The sequence below is a fragment of the Homo sapiens genome, chromosome 3, assembly GCF_000001405.40.
Source record: "Homo sapiens chromosome 3, GRCh38.p14 Primary Assembly".
NCBI lineage: Eukaryota > Metazoa > Chordata > Mammalia > Primates > Hominidae > Homo > Homo sapiens.
The window spans coordinates 44860864-44876436 of record NC_000003.12 but is presented as its reverse complement, the minus strand read 5'-3'; the positions used below and the strand labels follow the sequence as shown (position 1 = coordinate 44876436).

Here is a 15573-nt window from a genome sequence, read left to right as displayed (position 1 = left end):
CTGACCTCCTAGAGTGGTTGGAAGAACAAATGAAATCATATTCATGAAAACACCATGGAGTCATCACAACTTGCTAATGTTGTAAGGTGGCATGTGATGGTTACTTGCACAAGCCCATCAGAAAGGACACCTCAGGGAGCGTCAGCTCCCCTCACCAACACCCCAACACTGGTGGCCAGGAGATGACTGTCTTTGGTGATTTAGACCTTGAGAGTAAAGTCAAATTGTGCCCAGCAGGGAGGCAGCATAGTGTGGCATGAAATGAACACACGCCGGGTTTGTGTCCCAGCTCTGCCACCCATGGCTGGGACCTCAGTCAAGTCATCAAACCTCCCCAGTGAACAGGTCACACCTCTTGAAAATGACAGTGTGGGTCAGGACTACCTTTCCTTCAGGTAGTCCTCAGTAATTTATATAGTGCTTTCACGGGATTGATGTAACCTGCCCAAAGCCACAGGGCTATTTAGACATGAATCTTCTCTCAAATCAGCAGGTGCTTCCCATCACACCACACCACCCTTTCTCAGTCCTAAGGACTCTGTACCCTCCAAGACTGAGTCTAGCTGAGGCGTCAGCCATCTAAGGAGGAATTCAAAACTCTGTGGCCTTGGGACTAAAAAGAAGAGTCTGATTTATTTCGCAATGTCACCCTCCAAAAAAGAAGGTGGAAACTAGGAGGGTCTGGCTTAGTCCCTTTGCAGAGTTTCAAAGCAGCCATTCCTTGGCTTATCAAGCAGCTTCTCAAGCAAGAGAGAAGGCTGCTGAGCAAACCCTGCTGGGAGGTTACAGAGGGCTTGTGGGCTGGGGAGTCAGCAGAGGGGTTCAAACCCAGCCTCGTTGTTCCCTAGCAGCACCCGGACTCCCTGAAGTAAAACTGAGGGCTCTGGTGTCTGCTCTTGGTGGTGGTAGGCGGCTGCATCCTCATGGGACACAGAGCCTGGCACATGACTCCGCTCTGCTATTCCCCACTCTGAGAAGCAATGACACTGCTGACAGCAGCAGACAGACCCTCTGCAGTAGGGAAATCCATCAGGTGACCTTGAGAAAGGACAGGACACATTGAGAGACATTCTACAAAATAACTGGTCTGTACTCTTCAAAAGTGTTGAAGTCACAAAACTCCAAGAATGACAGAAGAACTATTCCAGACAAAGGAGACCGAAGAGGCACAACAACGGAATGCAAAGCCTAACCCAGGATTTTCTTCTGCTATAAATGACATTATTGGGACAGTTGATGAAATCTGCATAAAATCTGTGGGTTGGATAACAGTATTGAAATGGTGTTCATGTCCTGGTCTTCATAATTGTATTGGTTACGTAAGAGAATGTCCTTGTCTTTAGGAAATACACACCAAAATATTTAATAATGTAATATCTGCAACTTACTCTCAAGAGTTCAAAAAATATATATTTGTCTATCTATCTGTCTATATCATCTATCTGTCCACTGATCGAGAAGGATAAAGCAAATGCAGTAATAATTTAGGGAATCTGGATAAAGGATATATGGAAATTCTTCTTTTTATTCTTGCAATCTTTTTGTAAATCTGAAATTATGCCTAAATGAAAAGTTTGTGGGTTTTCTAAAAAGGGATGAGACAGAAAGCAAGCAGCACCAGGGCCACAAGTCAGGGTGAGAGGGCAATGGCCCCAGGCACCCGGCAGAGGCAAGAGAGCAGTTTAGGGCCAGCTGGCTGAAGGGGCATGTGGGGCTCCATGGAGATTTCACCCACTCACCTTTTGATGCATCCATCATCCCTTCAGATTCTCTCCTGCAATGCCAGGGAAGACTCTATCTCTGATGCCTGGTGCTTCCACACAGTCGGTCCTCAGGGGAGGAAACAGCCCTTTTTATGTGATCCTGGGCTAGATGTGGCCTTGCTATGGCTGCCAAGGGGCGGGGTTTGGGAAGGCGATGTTGATTAGAAATAATAAAATCCCGGAATCTTCCATATCAGACCCAGGAAATCAGGAGCCAAGATGAGCTGATGTAAAAGGGACAGACAACGGACAATGGCACCTCCTTGTCTGTTATATGAGCCTAACAGTGGGTGACCAAAAGCCAGGACCCTATGACCTACACCACATGTGGCCTGACATTCTGGTTACTATCAAGCTTAAGTCTAGGAACCCAGGCTAACCTTTACTGACTTTAGGGTTTTCTTCTTCTTCTCTTTTCTTCAAGTTGAAAAAGTAAGAGATGCTTGTGAGTTTTTTGTTTTACATTTTGAATATATAATGCATCCACATGGTTCAAAATGGAAAAAAATGCCCCCTGTCCACCTTGTTGAATCCTACTACCAGTTTCTTTTAGATCTTTCCAGAGATGTTGTATGCACTGAGAAGCAAATAATGTACTATTATTATTATTTTGTTATTTAGTTTTTATTTCATAATCATAAACTTAACTCTGCAATCCAGCTAGGCATGGAAGGGAACAAGGAAAACATGGAACCCAAAGGGAACCGCAGCGAGAGCACAAAGATTCTAGGATACTGGGAGCAAATGGGGTGGAGGGTGCTCCCCTGAGCTACAGAAGGAATGGTCTGGTGGTTAAGATAAAACACAAGTCAAACTTATAAGAGCTGTCCACAGTCAGCAATGGTGATCTTCTGGCCGGTCTTGCCATTCCTGGACACAAAGCACTCCATGGCCTCCACAATATTCATGCCTTCACCTTGCCAAAGACCACAAGCTTGCCATCCAACCACTCAGTCTTGGCAGTGCAGATTAAAAACTGGGAACCATTTGTATTGGGTCCAGCATTTGCCATGGACAACATGCCAGGACCTGTATGCTTTAGGATGAAGTTCTCATCATCAAATTTCTCCCCATAGATGGACTTGCCACCAGTGCCATTATGGCGTATGAAGTCACCACCCTGACACATAAACCCTGGAATAATTCTGTGAAAGCAGGAACTCTTATAACCAAATCCTTTCTCTCCAGTGCTCAGAGCACAAAAGTTTTCTGCTGGCTTTGGAACCTTGTCTGCAAACAGCTTGAAGGAGACGCAGGTCTAAAGGCTTGCCGTCAACGGTGATGTTGAAGAACACGGTGGGGTTGACGATGGCTGATGTTACAGGGCTCCTGGCGGCAGTGGCATCTGCAAAGCAAATAATGTATTATTTTGTTTTATTTACACAATGAGAGCATATCACTGCATTGCCCAGGCTGGTCTGGAATGCCTAGGCTCAAGGGATCCGCCCCACCTTCACCTCCCAAAGTACTGGGATTACAGGTGTGAGCCACCACGCCTGGCAAGATGGAGCTGTTCCTATTGCACATGGAGAGGTGGCCCAGTCTTTTCACAGCTGCACATATTCTGTTTGTGTGGATGGTCCCTAATTTATGTAACTCACCTCCCACCCATAGGCATCTGGGTTGCTTCCAATATTTCCTTATTACAATCAGTGTTGCAAAGAATAAGGTTATACAGAGATCATTTTACCCTCACATGAGTGTATCTATAGGAAGAATTGAATGCCTTGAAGTGGAAATGTTGGGCCAAAAAGCATAAGCTTTTGTAATTTTAATGGCTATCTGCTCTGCTCTCCACAGGGGCACTTGTGGTATTTTTCAATGATGTTATGTCTACTGAAAGGAGCCAGCCTGGCATAGTAGCAGAAATGCCAGAGGAAGAGAGGAGACTCCTGACACTGAAACCCCAACACCACAGTAACTTGCCGTGTGTCACTGGGAATGTTGTCTTCATTAGCTCCTTACCTGAAAAGTGAGGGGGCTGAATAATGATGCCAACGGTCTCTTCCAGACCAAAAGCCCAGGGATGGGCAATTGCCTTTGCTGGCTTTAAGGCAAGCCAGAGAGCAATGACCCTGGTTACTCTGAATAACAATAATGAAGTCAGAGGTTTTTGCTGTTCTGCAGGCAAGCATCTCAGCACCGCATCCCTAAATATAATAGAACAAACCAAGCCCTGAAGTGCACATGGCATTTACGAAAAGTCTTGGCTGGGTTCTGTCTGCAGAGAAGCCCTAGGCCCTATGATTACAGGCTCAGGAGTGGGAGAAGGATGCTTGCTTTTCTCTGTATTTCCTTTTACATCATCAGAATTTAGCACCATGTGCATGAATTACCTATTTAAGAATAAATTCACTACTTAAATGGAAAAAGCCTCTAAATAAAAGTCCTGGCCTAGGGGTGAGAGGGTCCGGGTTTTAGTTGCTTCACCTCTCTGAGCTTCTTTCATCATTTTTGACAAATAAGGGGCTTGTGCAAGATGAGCTTTCGCCAGTGCCTTCCAGGCCAGAGAATCCAGGGTACCAGAGTGAGTATAAAAGTGTCTAAAAGAAATAGACTTTGGGTCAGACAGAACTGGGCCTACATCCTGGGTCCTCTACAGATCCACTGTGTGACCTTGGGAAGTTACTTCTCTGTGCCTCTGTTTCTTCATCTGGGAGGTGGGAAATAATAACACCCACGCCACAGGTCAAGTGTCTGAAGCAGGATGCTGTGAAGAGGCAAAGGCATTCAAAATTCTCTGCAAGAAATGAGTTACACCGCGGACCTTACAAAGGACCCCCCCCATCCCAACAACCTCATTTCACAGCTGGAAAAAGTGCAGCCTAGAGAGAGGCAGCCACCTGGGCATCAGGAGAGGATCCCCGTGAGCCTCCCTTCCCTCTTCCTGCAGCAGAACTTCCGGGCCTCAGCAGAGTCGGCCCTTATTTAGTTCCTTGTGCATGTGGCATTTTATCTGTCAGCTGGTCCCAAAGGATCATCTTTTCTCATGTTTCCTGTCTGGGGCCACAGCTGACACCATGGTCTAGTCACAGGCCACTGGGGCCATCAGCATCCCCCTCCCCCACCAGCTGCTGAACTGCAGCCACTGTATTGCACTAGCACCTGGTGGCCAACTCCAGGCATATTGGGATCAGAGGCAGCCCACTCAAGACCCTCTGCTCTCTGCTCTCCAAGAGGACCAGACACAGGCCCCACCATGGGACAGGAGGCTCTGAATGTGCTGTCCCAGAAAAGTTGGCATGGTCTACACTTCACATTAATCCACAGATGATGGAGCTGGGGAGGAGGGAGAAAAGGAAAAATCAGGCAAGAAGAGCCTGAAAACCACCAGGTAAGGTGGGGAACAGAAGACACGTTTCAAGATGAAGTTCATAGAGGACCTTAGCCAGGAATGGAATCTTCTCATTTTGTGTCCCTAGCCCATAGCATGGCACAGAGTGCTCAGCAGATGAGGGAATGCATGAATAAATGAACAAATAAGCAAACAGGACAGGGTGCTCAGGTGGAAGCCTGGGAGCGGCCCCATGCCTGTGCCTGTGGGGCAGGTGCCTCCTGCAGAGGTCAGGGGAGGCTGTGTCCTCTTCTCCCAACGCATGCTGGGAGTCCCTTTTGGAAGGAAAGCCCAATACACATTGGTTTTGGGGATTCAAGCCTAATCCCTGACCCACCTCTGCATCCACCCCCCAATTCTGAGGATGAAAGAACAACTGAGGCCCTGTTGGACTCTAGGCACCACAGCTGCTGTTCATGGTGCTAAGCTCGGAGCTAAATCATAAAGATAGGCATCCTGATGCATCCCCGCCCCCTTTTTTTGTGTGGAGACAGGGAGGAGTTAGTAAATACGCATCCACAGATTTGTGGGAGCAAAATCTTTTCTTCTTATATCTGAAACTATAAATTCATCTCTCATCTGACTCCTATTATATATGTAAACAACTTTATAGGAGAAAAATAAAAGAATCCAATAAACCCCGAAGTCACCTCTTTTTAAGCCACTCCTAGCGCTTGCCATTGTACACAAATGTGTTTACACTGCATGGAGCAAACCTGGCACTTCAGGCCATGCCTGGCAGGCTGCCTTGTGGACACTGTCTAGGATCCGCCTATTTCAAATGCTCACCCCTGTTCGTGGGCACGTGATATTCTACCATATTTGCCTAACCATTTCTCAACTATCAGGCAACTAACTGCTGCTAGCAGTAATGCAGCTAGGAACCCTGTTGCCTAAATTGTGTATTTTTTTCTTTTGAATTTTCCCCCTGGTGTAGCATTAGGTCTAACTGCATAGGGGACTGACTTTTAAACTCTGGTGAGGGGCTACCCTGTGAGGGACCATGCTGGTGACAGTCAGGACTCACTGCTGCAGGCCTCCAGGCAAGAAGAACTTTGGGGACCCTATTGAAGACCAGCAAGGGAACACGGAAGCAGTACAGACAAGACAGGCTCTCAGCCAGGCTATCTGGGGTCCCATCTCAGCTCAATCTATGACAAGTTGAGTGGATTTGGGGGAAATCTGAGCCCTCCAAGCCCTTGTTTCCCAAAGGAACTGGATGGCTCTGGAATTTGGAGTAATAATTATCTGCCCAGTCCAGCCCTGGAGCCAATTCCACTGGAACCAACATGGTCTGTCTCACCTCCCACCCTAACCTATCTGATTCACCACACCTCCAGACTCTGGGCTGGGCCCTGCTATTCCTTATCCAGGCCCAAAGAGCCCAGAGCACACATCGGCTAGCAAAGACGATCTTGGGGTTTTCTTGCTAAACAACAGCAGTAAGATTTGTATGTCTAATGATTGTTAAATGTGATCGTTCCCATTTATCAGTGAAGTATTGTCTAAAAACATTTATGAAACCTTACAAAAATTCAAAAAAAAACAGCAATGAAAACTTACATCTCCCTCATCAAGTTCAAGAAATAAAACTTATGGGTTATAACTGAAGCTCTCAGCCCCTTATATATCCCTTCCCAACCCCAATTTCCTTTCCTCCCTCCCCAAAGTAACCACCACTCTGAGTTTGGTATTTAAGTTCCCTTGCATATTTAAAAATACTTACTAAACGTGAATATCTAAAATAATAAGTAGTATTGAAGGTTTTAAATTTTTTTGTAAAATTATCATACTTAACACTCCCTTCTACTTTTTTTCACTCTACATTATGATTTTGAGATTTTTTCATGTAATTTTTCCATGTAATTCATGCTTGTCACCACTGTATAGTGTTCAATACACTGTATGCTATAACTTCTCTATTCTCCCATTGATATTAGATTGTTTTACATTTTTCTCAGTTATAAACACTGCTGCAACAAGCATGTGTGTTCATGTCTCCTTGTGCACAAGTGAGAGTTTCCAGGACTGGAATTGCTGGCTCAAACAGTAGGCACATCTTCTGTTTTGTCAGATGATAGTAAAATGTTTCCAGAGGGTTATACTAATTTATACTTCCAGCAGTAGCACATGGGAATTCACAGTGATCCACAACATTGGCCTTGCTTGTTCAACTTTGTAACTTTTGCCAATCTTGTATGAAATGGCATCAATGGCATCTTACTGAGTTCCCCCTAGCTTTATTGAGGTATAGTTTATATCCAATAAAATTCACCCACTTTAAGTATAGAATGTTAGTTTTATACAGTTGTGTAATGACCACTATGATCAAGATGTAGAAAAGAGCCATCATCCTAAAAAGTTCCTTCTTGCCCTGATTCCCAGCCCTAAGCAACCACTGATCTGCCTTCTGTCACTGAAGTTTTGCCTTTTTTTCTTTTTAATTACATATAAATGGAACTATATGGTATATATTCTTTTTGGGTCTGGCTTCTTTCACTTAGCATAATTATTTTATGATTCTCCTTGTGATAGCATGTATCAATACTCTCTTCCTTTTTACTGAAGAGTAGTATTCCATAGATGAATATGGATGGCCATTTGGGTTGTATCAGTCAGCTCATGCCGCCATAACAAATACCACAGACTGCATGACCTAAACAACAGATATTTATTTTCTCACAGTTCTGCAGGCTGGGAAGTCCATGATCAATGTGCTGGCAAATTCAGGTTCTGATGAGGGCCCTTTTCCTGGCTTGCCTTCTCTCCTTCTTGCTATGTCCTCAAATGACCTCTCCTCTGTACATGTTATCTCATATTGTATCATAGTTATATCAGCAATTCCATTCCTAGGTATATACCCAATAGAATTGAAAACATGTTCACACAAAAACGTGTACACAATTGTTCAAAGCAGCATTATTCTAATAGAAAATTAGAATAGAATAGAAAAGGGAAACAAGCCAAATGTCTATCAAAAGATGAATGTATAAACATAATGTGGTAGATCCACACAATGGAGTATTATTCAGTCATAAAAAGGAATGAATAACTGATTCATGCTACAACATGAATGAGCCTTGAAAACACTATGCTAGGTGAAAAAAGACCCAAAAGGCCATATATTGATGTTGTATAATCCATTTATATGAAATGTCCACAACAGGCAAATCTATAGACAGAAAGTGGATCCTTGATTGCCATGGGCCTGGGGGAGGATGGAATACAAAATGACTGCTAATGGGTATGAGAATTTCTTTTGGAGTGATAAAAATGTTCTGGAATTAGCTAGCGGTAATGGTCGAAAACTTTGTGAATCTACTAAAATACTACTGAATTGCACACTTTTAAAAAGAGTAAGTTAAAAAATAAAATTAAACGAAAGGAATGACCTATCAGGCCTTTGAACCTGGATGTCAAATTGCCAGCTCCAAGCAAACAAAGTTCAATCCATCATCCAAGATGCACACCAAAAAGACAAATATTGATATAGTATTGATATAGTTTATTCTTATCAATAAACCTCTGAAATGAGGAAAATAAATACAGTGAACGTTTCCTCAACTTTTTAGATGACTATAGAGTTGTATCTTCCTGCTTTTTGAAGAATGACTGATCTTCCTCTTAGAAAAAATCTTACATCTTGTACAAATATACGTCTTCTACAAATACATCTTGTACATCTTGTACAAATACAGGCATATTTGTTGAATTGAGTGATAGGGTTCCACGTCAACACCAACCATCTCTATGCATTAAGCAAGTGTCTGGATGGGAGGCCAGGTCCTCTCAGGACAATGCTTGCTCCAAGATGGACTTCTTTCTGCCCTTTTCACTAACTGCCCAGGGAGGCCGACCACCAGCTATCAGCAGCCTTCAGGTCTGGCCTTGGCTGGGTGTCTGACCCATATGGTGAACACACCCTGGAAAGCCTTGAATATCCTTCAGCTTCTTCACTGGTAGAATGGTGGGGTCAGACTAGATCAGGGAGATCAACACTAGAGCCCCTAAGAAAAGGTAGGTGGCTGGTGACCAAAGGGTTCTGAGGTTTGGGCATGCTGAGTCACAGTATGGAACAGGCCCCTTACTGCAGGGCCTCTCTGAGTTTTCAGGTGTTGGTGTGGGAAGCAGGACAGAGGTAGGGACTGAGCTGAGCCCAGTCAGATCGGGCTGACATTGTGGTTCTGGCACTCCTCAGCTGTGTGATGTCAGGCAAATTATTCCACTTCCCCAAGCCTTAGTTTCCTCACCTCTAATACAGGAACAAGAGTAACTCCCTCACGGGTTGGCTGGGAGGCAATGTGTCAAAGTGGAGCTAAATGATTAACATTCTGTGAATTACAGCTTTGTCCTGGCCCCCATGGGAGCTCAAGGGTTTTGAAGAGCAGGAGTTTGCCAGCGAGAGGTGAAGGTAAAGGGAACCCAAGGCAAGGGTAAGAGCAAGTACAAAACATGTTGGCAGGACTGGACATGGTGGATTTGAGAATGGCTGACCTGCAGATGTCTGGGGGGACTCAGCATGGTGGGGCTAGCATGAGGGAGATGGGTACTAAGGAGTCATTGCGGAAGAGAACTCTTGTTGGAGTGGTGGGCTAGGGCCAGATCCCCATCAGAAGGAGCCGTGGAATGGTTTTAGTAAGCTCATTCTGTCAATTGTGCTGACCACAGTAAGGGAGGAGAGCAATGAAGGTGCTACATGGGCGAGGAGGAGGGTCTGGACAAGACCCTTCGCTCTCCTAGCCTCCTGGCTACCAGGTCCCTCTCAACTGCAGGAAATGTATGAAGAAGACTTGGGGCCAGAGATCAGACTCAGGAGAGCTGAGAGGGCCCTCGGACACCCCAGGGGAGAAGTGAGGCAGGTAAGTGCCGGGCTTCAGGCTCTGTGCTGGGAAAGTGTGCAGGCAGCACACAGCCCACTTTGAACTAGGAATTACATTCACATGGTCTAAGATACAAAAAGAACAAGGGGGCCAGGTGCAGTGGCTCACGCCTGTAATCCCAGCACTTTGGGAGGCTGAGGCGGGCAGATCACGAGGTCAGGAGATCGAGACTATCCTGGATAACATGGTGAAACCCCATCTCTACTAAAAATAAAAAAAATTAGCTGGGCATGGTGGCGGGTGCCTGTAGTCCCAGCTACTCGGGAAGCTGAGGCAGGAGAATGGCGCGAACCCGGGAGGCAGAGCTTGCCGTGAGCTGAGATTGCGCCACTGCACTCCAGCCTGGGTGACAGAGCGAGACTGTCTCAAAAAAAAAAAACCCAAAAAAACAAAAAAACAAAAAACAAAAAAAAACCAAAGGGGAATCTGAGAAAGAAAAGCAAATGACAGAAGAGCCCTAAAGGTAAACGCTAGAGGAACAGAGTGGCAGGGAATGGAGGGACCTCTGAACCACTTTCTTTCCCAAGTAAAACAAGGTCTCCAAAGGGAGGTCAAACTTTTCTCCTTGAGAGCACCAGGAGAATGAACAGACCCTGTGCAGTTCAAAGAGCCTTAGCCTGTGTGACCTCAGGAAGTAACCACAAGATCAAGCTCTAGCAGGTGTCAGAGCAACCGAAGCCACAAGGCTTCTGTACCTGCCTCACTCTCCTGCCTCCTCCACATTGGGATTTCAGCTCACTCTGGCTCCCTCTTACTCCAAAGGGAAGGAAAGAATTAAGATACCGTACCTGGTAGTTTTAACTTACAAAAAACGTATTTATTAATCCAGTTTTCCTCTTCTTGCCATAATACATAAGCATGACACAGATGGCCTGATACATCAGCATGGAACTGTCAGAAAGCCCCACCAGTCACTGCTTCTAGAGTTACATGACTGGCTTTTGTTTGGCAACAGGACAATAATTACAGCGTGGTTTCAAGTACCATACACAAAGCAGACCAACCCCAGGATCTCCAGCATCTGCGAAGGCTCACTGGGGTAGGCCTGGGAGGAAGAATCCAAAGCACTGTACAGATGATCAAAACACTTCCGGTAGAACACTGCTGCAGCTGCACCTCTCCTTACAGAGCCAGAGCCTGCTCCATCAGAGGCCTGCTTCCCTTGGCTGATGGTCAGAAGGCTGCACAACTGGATCGCCCTAGGATACAGTCCCACATGACATCCCAAGGCTGGGCCACCATCATGATCTTTCCAGCTGGTCCGTCTAGCCAAGTGGTGCTACTGCTGCTTGTGTGGAAGGGGCTTCCAGGTGGGTGGGAGCTTCCTGTGGATTAGGGTGAGTCCGCAGAGAATAAGGAACACTCCTCCCCACCACAAGACCTCCTGGCACTCTCCATACAGCACATAGCCCAGGAAGGCCTGCGAGACAAAGATAGCTGTGAGGGACTCAACTTCAGCAGGTGGGCACAACCTCACTCTCCTGGGACTGACTTCCTTCTAAGGGTGCCAGGAGGAAAGGTCTGGAGCCAGAAGCCTTGGGCTTGAAACCTAGCTGTCACCTTCATCAAGTCACTCTATTCAATCTCCCCTGCATGAGTGGAGAGGCTACCTCCCTCACTGCACTGGACCTCAGCAAAGTACACAAGAAAGACCCAGCAGATGCCAGCAGGTAGACACAGCAGGTACATGGTATTTGTTTCTCCCTCAACTCAAGATTGACTACGCTCAGCTCCATCTTGTCAACCTCAGACTACACAGGGCAGAAAAGTTTCTGGGAATCCCAACCCTCTAAATGCCATGGAGCCTTGAGTACACAGAACCCTAGGAAACAGCTAGGATGCACAGTGACTTCAGAATGAGGGCTCCACCCTGGAGGAACAGCAAGCAAGTAGGCTTTTTACTGTCAGGCTTCACTCATATCTAACTTAAGAATTCTTCCATGATTAGAATTACATTTGCTCCATGAATAGAGCACTCATCCAGGGGTCAAGCCACAGCCCAACCTCTGCTTCAGTTCCTGTCCTTTCTCCTGTCTGGGAAAGGAGGGGTTATCCAAAGACAACTCACCCAGAACCCAGATTTAGGACAAGAGCACCACACCCTCAGGCTACTCACCGAGCTGAGGATATTTGAAAAAGTCACTGTGACAGATGCAATGGCTGAAGACATGGAGAAACTGAGGCCCCGGCTAAAGAAGGTCCACATCAGAGAATTGGTGCTCGCCATCACAATAATGCCTAAGACGCATAAACCCATGCTCACCTGCAGGAGAAAGTGTCACTGCAGCCACGTCCACCCTGGGCAGCAACCTGCAGACCCCCTCAAAGCACACCCAGGACTGTGGTTGCTGGCACCCAGGCTCCTACTGAGCTCCCACTACAGCTCAGAGGGCCTCAGAGCTTTCCTGCACAGGGCTTCACTTAACCCTCAGTGGGCAGCAGACCCATCTTACAAATAAAGCAAATTCAGAGAAGATACTCATTTGGCCACCTTGCTGGCCATATGATCTTGGGAAGAAGCAAAATGCTAATCCAAAGCCAGTATTTTCTACTGAACACCGGCCCCTTATTGGTCCCACAATGACCAGTGCTTGAAGATCAGTCCCAGAGGGCCAAGTAGTTCTTACTCCGTAGGTAGTAAGCCTAGGGTAGAGTTCTTATTTCTTGAGATCAGGCAAAGCATGAATTAGCAATGTCTGCTCTGTATTCCCACCCCCAAATCCTATACAAGTTACAGCCCACTAAGGCTGACCCCCTCTGGGTATTCTTGAGCTTTTACTCTGTGTTAGGTCCTGGGCTGTGTTTAAGCATTCTCATTTATTCCTTAACTTCATTTTACAGATAAAGAGCCAGGGGCATTAAGTAACCTTCCTAAAGTGCTACAGCGGTGAGAGCCACCAGGCTTCACAAGCAGGCAGTGTACCTCCATGCTCTTAACTAGGGCACAGCCTTGCCTGAGGGAAACACCACCTCAGACTATTTAGTGATCCCAGACATCCCTTGGAGAACTTGCAGGTATTTTCTTTCTTTTTTTTTAAAGGAGAAAGTCTCAAGAGAAGAGAAGATCTTTAGAAGCCTCCTACACAAAGGATATGCAGTCCCCCTTGCTTGGTGGTGAGTTAGAAACCTGCCTGGAGACAAGGCGGCGGGGGGGGGGGGTGCGGAATCTAAATATACTTATTACTTGTAATGGTTTCTCAGCAGCTGAACACATAGTGTCTTGAGAAAAAGGTGCTTGCTTATAACTTACACCAGGGTGTTCAATTTTTTGGCTTCCCTGGGCCACACTGGAAGAACTGTCTTGGGTCACACATATAATACACTAACACTAATGATATATGATGAGCTAAAAAAAAAATAATAAATCGCAAAAAAATTCATGTTTTAAATTTGCAAATTTGCGTTGGGCCGCGAGTTGGACAACCTTGTCTTACACAAAGCAGCATATGGGCCAGTGGCAACCTGCTTAAAGGGTTATGAAGGTCTAGTTCCTGACAACAAACTTCACGGCCCATACAAAGTTATTCATTTTACTTTCGACCACTTACCCCATGAACTACACCCAATGGGATACTAACCTGAAGCATGGCAGCTACTACTGGATTAGCCCTAAATAGGCTTAACCCTAAATAATCAGTGACCACTGTCCAGGTCAGAGGCTAACCTTGGGCTGCAGACGCAATGAAACCCCTATAGCAAGCAGAGGCTGGTCTACGACGTGGGAGGGAGAGGCAGAGATACACCTTAGCAGACGCCAGGATGCAAGTTTAGGAGTTCTCAGCGTCAGGAAAACATCCAGAACGTCTCTGTCAGTATCCTCTTATGCCTACAGTATCCCAAACTCCCAATTTTCCTGGTAGTGGGGCAGACTGGTCATCTGGTCACAACACCCGTTAATTACGGAGTAAAGGGATGGGCAAGAGGCTTCTCACCTTAAGAGTCACGTGGAGAGAAATGCTCAGGCACAAGGGACTTAAAATGAGAGGTAGAGGGTGGATGTAGGAGGTGTAGTTCTTCCCCGAGAGCGAACTAGCCCAACCGGAGAAAAGGTTTTAGGTCCCTGGTAAGGGAAGAGGCCTCAGTCCCCGACGTCTCTTACCACCTACACTGGACGAGGGTTTGGCGTGATTAGAGGCGAAACACTCTCTGCCACCCCAGCTGACCGCAGCGCCGCCCGCGGCCCGGGGCCCCGGCGGGACAGACCGGCGAGGGTGCGGCGGCGCCCTGCGCCCACCCCCGCCCCACCCCAAGAGCCCCGCGGGCCCCGCAGCGCCCCTCCTCCGCCCAGCGGCGCCCCGCCCGCCCGCCCGCAGCAGCAGCACCAACAGCGCCCCGGGCTCGACCTCGCTGCCGAAGGCCAGCTTGGCGGAGGCGGCGGCCAGGGCCCCGAACGCGCCGGCGCACAGACAGTTGAATACGCCCCAAAAGCGGCGCCGCATCGCACCCGCCTGGAGGTGCGGAGGGAATTCCGCGGGGGTGTCAGGGTACGCGGTCGCGGACACGGCGCCGCCCGGAGGCCCCGGCCTCTCGGCCATGTTGCCTGCTGACACCGTGCCTGGCACCCGCTGCCCGCAGGGCAGAGCGCGCGCCGCGATTGGATGGCAGCCTCACGTGACGCGACGCTCCTGTGACGCCACGCTCCGGCAGGCCCCTTGGGAATCGCTCTCCGGCGCCTCGGAGGGGGCGGGCCAGGTGGCAGAGACCCTGGGCTGTGGCGGCCTCCGGCCTAACCTGTAGTAGGTTTGTGCTCTGGGGAGGACGTCGGGACCCGAGGCCTGAGGCCAAGCCGGGTACTGTGGACGCTGTGGTAGAAGGTAAACTTCTCGCGGCTTAGCCGTCTCCATCCCGGCCACCCGGCTCCCGGTGAAACTTATTAAAGATGCCTAACGGGCCCCGCGCCGGCCCACCGAGTCCATCCACGTCGACCAGGCTTCTCCGCTCCACCCTCCAGCCTGAGGACCGCCGGACCAAGAGATGCCTCGGCAGAGGGCGCTGGGGACCTCCAGACCCAGAAAGACGCCAGAGCCCCATATGGGGACAAGCGCATCACAGAAAACCGAAAAAATGAGGATCTGCGATGAGAGGAAGACAATGATCCATAATCAAGCCACGCAGAATCAACATGACTTCTAATCTCCTGTTATACTTACGTATGTTTAGAATGTTTCCGGCTGGGCGTGGTGGCTCATGCCTGTAATCCCAGCACTTTGGGAGGCCGAGGCGGGTGGATCACCTGAGGTCGGGAGTTCGAGACCAGCCTGACCAACATAGAGAAACCCCGTCTCTACTAAAAATACAAAATTAGCCGGGCGTGGTGGTGCATGCCTGTAATCCCAGCTACTCGGGAGGCCGAGGCAGGAGAAGCGCTTGAACCTGGGAGGTGAAGGTTGTGGTGAGCTGAGATCATGCCATTGCACTCCAGCCTGGCCAACAAGAGTGAACTCCGTCTCAAAAAATAAAAATAAAAATAAAATGTTCCCATTTAAAAAGTACACGTCCTTGAAAATAAAGTGTTGAAATGTATAAAGTGCTATTTCCACTCTCCAGGAAAATCAGTGTTAATAGAGCATTTTTCTATATGTCTATTTAGTTATAT

General features: G+C 47.6%; 3 protein-coding genes, 1 non-coding gene and 1 pseudogene across 5 annotated transcripts in view, besides 3 other annotated features; all 5 read right to left on the bottom strand.

The window, feature by feature from the left end:
• The window catches only part of TGM4 (transglutaminase 4), a 40383-nt gene extending 38554 nt beyond the window's left edge, over positions 1-1829 (bottom strand). For both annotated transcript variants that reach the window (XM_011534042.3, NM_003241.4), the window contains exon 1: positions 1740-1829. In XM_011534042.3, coding sequence (XP_011532344.1) covers positions 1740-1758 — 19 coding nt within the window. In that variant the 5' untranslated portion in view covers positions 1759-1829. The remainder of the gene's footprint in view (positions 1-1739) is intronic.
• PPIAP18 (peptidylprolyl isomerase A pseudogene 18) lies at positions 2374-3115 on the bottom strand (annotated as a pseudogene).
• The window catches only part of KIF15 (kinesin family member 15), a 106894-nt gene continuing 99070 nt past the window's right edge, over positions 7750-15573 (bottom strand). Inside the window, exon 37 of the transcript XR_007095708.1 lies at positions 7750-7946. The gene's annotated coding sequence lies outside the window, so the exon portion shown is untranslated. The remainder of the gene's footprint in view (positions 7947-15573) is intronic.
• On the bottom strand, positions 10773-14525 carry TMEM42 (transmembrane protein 42). The gene is made up of 3 exons (NM_144638.3): positions 14321-14525; positions 12094-12240; positions 10773-11397 (listed from the first exon to the last, which is right to left on the bottom strand). Exons 1-3 carry the CDS (start codon positions 14510-14512, stop codon positions 11257-11259), a joined length of 480 nt encoding a protein of 159 aa, NP_653239.1. The 5' UTR covers positions 14513-14525; the 3' UTR covers positions 10773-11256.
• Positions 14016-14065: a silencer, noted in NCBI's record as "silent region_14274". NCBI's record gives its function as "represses an Ori minimal core promoter by ATAC-STARR-seq in GM12878 lymphoblastoid cells {active_cell/tissue: GM12878}" and the evidence as "EXISTENCE:reporter gene assay evidence [ECO:0000049][PMID:35858748]".
• Positions 14396-14445: a silencer, noted in NCBI's record as "silent region_14273". NCBI's record gives its function as "represses an Ori minimal core promoter by ATAC-STARR-seq in GM12878 lymphoblastoid cells {active_cell/tissue: GM12878}" and the evidence as "EXISTENCE:reporter gene assay evidence [ECO:0000049][PMID:35858748]".
• On the bottom strand, positions 14456-14549 carry MIR564 (microRNA 564). The gene has a single exon (NR_030290.1). It is a non-coding gene; the product is annotated as a microRNA 564 (primary transcript).
• Positions 14476-15065: an enhancer, noted in NCBI's record as "active region_19772". NCBI's record gives its function as "activates an Ori minimal core promoter by ATAC-STARR-seq in GM12878 lymphoblastoid cells {active_cell/tissue: GM12878}" and the evidence as "EXISTENCE:reporter gene assay evidence [ECO:0000049][PMID:35858748]".